Source organism: Homo sapiens, chromosome 11 (assembly GCF_000001405.40).
Source record: "Homo sapiens chromosome 11, GRCh38.p14 Primary Assembly".
Lineage (NCBI taxonomy): Eukaryota > Metazoa > Chordata > Mammalia > Primates > Hominidae > Homo > Homo sapiens.
The window spans coordinates 116,214,588-116,217,852 of NC_000011.10; the positions used below are offsets into that span (position 1 = coordinate 116,214,588).

The window sequence follows — 3,265 nt, forward strand, 5'->3', positions numbered from 1 at the left end:
TTCTCTCCCTCCTTCTCAGGATTCCTTGCCATGCTGTGGCAGATATAAGAGCAACCTCTCTTTTGGTTTTTTTCCTTATATTTTCTTTTCTAATTCTGGTGCGGGTGTGCAGGGCAAGCTCTCTTGTTCTGACTCTTGGGCAGCCATGAATAGCACCTTTCACAGGGTGCTATAAGGGTGTCCACCACTCCTCTGGTCATTATGCATTAAACCTTACTGTCCCTGAAAGTGAGTTTCCATACCAGCTGGCTTCTAGAAAGACCCTCAGAAACTTCTCTTGCCCTTTCCCATTGGACCCCAACTTTCTTCTACTCGCTCTTTCCTCTTTAGTTCCAAACTCTTCCAGCCCTGTGTTGAGCCTTCCAGACCCTCTCCTCTCTGGGACCTCAGCCACAGCACCATGCCTGATCCCACCTTGCAAAGAATTCAGAGGAAGACATCAAAGCTCTGGCCCTTCCTTAATGCAGGATTGTGAGTGCCCTTTCCTTGCTCATTCCATGCCACCAGAGAGAGGCTGAGCTCCCAGCTCTGGACACTGAGGATATGGAAGAGGGCAAGAGAAAGGAGAAGCTGGCAGAAAGAATAAGGCAAGATCCAGAGGAAAAAAAAAGAAGGAAACAAAATGCAAGGCAGACACAGGGGCAAATGGGGAGAGCCTTAGGAACTCTATGTTTAAGTGGTCTGATAATTAAATGAATAGTGTTTGGTGGGGGAGCCCACCTTTCAAAATCCCCACTGGTGGTAAAGCATATAAAAACCTGAATAGCAAATATTTACTCGGAATTAACACAGAGCAGATTCCATCAGGCAACCTTAGGGCTGTTTCTGGAGTCTTACCTTAATGTCTTGTGTGGCATGGGAGCCCAGGCGGGCACTAGACCTGGCGTAATATGCTAAACAAATCTAATGGTGTGCTTTATTTCCCCCCTCAGCAGAACTCTTAATTATGTATCTTGCAAGTGCACAGAGCAAATGGATTAGCCACGGCAGCTCTTTGCTGCTAGAGCAGCACCCTCCCCAGAAATCTTTGCAAGGAGACCATGAGCCAGCCCCACAGTCTGGGCCAGGGAGCTGGCAGGAGTCTGGAAAGAGCAAAGGTAGAGGCTGTTACAGAATAGGAGTCCTCAGCCAGGAGATGTCTGTTTTCTGGCACCCCAGAAGGAGAGGTAGGATGTGATTAACGGGTGTGTGGTAGTGGAGGCCAGGCCAGTCTTGCAGCTGCATGGGCTGAGGCAAGCTCTTTGAAAGGTTTCTCTGCTAAGGCCCATCTCTCCTAGTTTCCCTCCCAGAGCCATGCCTGAAAGACTCACCTGGCCTACCAGCCAGGATGTTGTCTAGTAGGATGACTCCCTACTGCCCCCTTAGCACCTCCTAGCAAATTGCAGGAACCCATGTGTCAGCGTAGCTAACTGTGACTTAGTGGAGTAGATGAGAGGGACTGGGACCCATGGGGGAAGAACAGTCAGGAAAATTCACAACTTGGGCTACAACTGGGGAAGGCAGGCCAATGAAAAATCAATAGAAGGTGCTCTAAGGATGTGGGTATAAGGGCAGAAACCCATTTTGAAGTAACAATATGGGGACTATGCTGAAGACCTGCAGGTGGGCAGAGCAATGACACAAAGCTGGACACTGGCCAGGGACAGAAATATCACTGAGACTACCTGTCCACCAAACTCAGAGAGGTCAGAGGTGCCGAAGTGCGTGTGTAAGTGTGATTGTGTGTGTGTGTGTGTGTGTGTGGCATGCACACATGCATTGAGCAGTCTCTGCCTAGGGCCTAAAGATCCTTCTCCACAATGCCTTTGGCACTGACATCTTGAGCAGGAGAATTCCAAGCAGGCATGGAAGTTACCCTACTCTAACAAGTCCCTGGGATTTCGTACCCAGGACCTGGGTTTGCGTCCCACTCGACCACTCACTAGCAGCTCTCATAACCTCTCTGGGCCTCAGTTTCTCCTCCTGTTTTAGCATGTGAAAGATTAGCATGATGCCTCAAACTTATCAATAACAATATTTGCATCTGAGCGTTGAATGGTCATTTTACTTATAATGTATTTCTCCAAGGGTCATAGGAGGGCTATTCATTGAAATTCATGAAACTGCTTTATAAACTGAAAAATGCAAGAATAATCCTAACAATAACAGCACTTATTGAGCACTTGCTATATGCCAAGCAACATGCGAGGTGTTTTACATGTATTACCTCATTCTGTCCTCACAATAATCCTATGATATAGATACTATTAGTATCCCGATTATTCAAATGAGGAAACTGAGGCACAAGAGAGGTTACCTAAATTCCTGAGGGTTGCATGACTAATACGTGGTGAAGCCAGGGTTCAAACGCCAGCATCTCACAGTGTTACTGTTATAAGACAGTTGCCTGGAACCGGGGAGCTCAGGAAAGAACAGGAGGCAGCAAGCTCATGCACTGCCCAACATCATAGGAAATCAGTGGCCAAGGCAAAGCTTTAGGCTCCAGGCATGTAAGCAGCCTGGACTAAGGGCATATGTTACATTCAGAAGTCAGAATCAGGCAAGTTTAGAACAGAAGCACTCTGCAAAGAACAACAAAGCTTTGAAACAAGGCAACACTGCTCTCCACGCTCACCAGACGGCGCTGTGCAGTGTTCCCAGAAGCGTCTATTCGGTTTCATTCAACCAGAGAAATCATGGAGCACTTAACAGTGCACCAGGCTTGGGAGATGGACGACAGAAAGCCATGATCCCTGCCCTTGTGTAGCTTACAGCCTACCAAGAAAGGTTGATACTACACAAGGAATTGCAAGAGTGATGAGTTTAAAGGAGAAAAAGGTTTGGATGTATATGTTAGGGTAATGCTAACTGCAAAAACAAAAAGACCCCAAAATGTATTATGGCTCAAATTTAAGAACTTTATCCCTCACTCATGGAACAGAACACAATGAATGCTCCTGATTGATAAGAGCAGCTGTCCTCTTCATTTCTTCCAGAGTTAGGCTAACAACAGCTCTGCTGTCTCCAGCATACATCCCACAAGGGCTCCCTGGGGACCACCATCCTAGTCAGCCAAAGGTCACCATCCCAGTCTTAATCTTTTGCAAGAAAGAGTGTGCCCAAAGGTTTTCATGGGCCAGGCCTAGGAGGGGCACACATCCCTTCCACTCACATGCAAATGACTAGACCTCAGCCAGTTGCCACAGCTAACTCCATAGGGACAGCTGAGAACCCGGGAGGAAGAGGAGGCCATGGATTTGATGAACTGTTAGCCAGCTGTCCCTGT

At 47.5% G+C, this 3,265-nt stretch overlaps 2 annotated features.

Annotated features, from left to right (window-relative positions):
* Nucleotides 2,485-2,779: a silencer, noted in NCBI's record as "tiled region #5427; K562 Repressive DNase matched - State 12:CtcfO". NCBI's record gives its function as "represses a minimal TATA promoter and a strong SV40 promoter by Sharpr-MPRA in K562 cells {active_cell/tissue: K562}" and the evidence as "EXISTENCE:reporter gene assay evidence [ECO:0000049][PMID:27701403]".
* Nucleotides 2,485-2,779: an enhancer, noted in NCBI's record as "tiled region #5427; HepG2 Activating non-DNase unmatched - State 12:CtcfO". NCBI's record gives its function as "activates a minimal TATA promoter and a strong SV40 promoter by Sharpr-MPRA in HepG2 cells {active_cell/tissue: HepG2}" and the evidence as "EXISTENCE:reporter gene assay evidence [ECO:0000049][PMID:27701403]".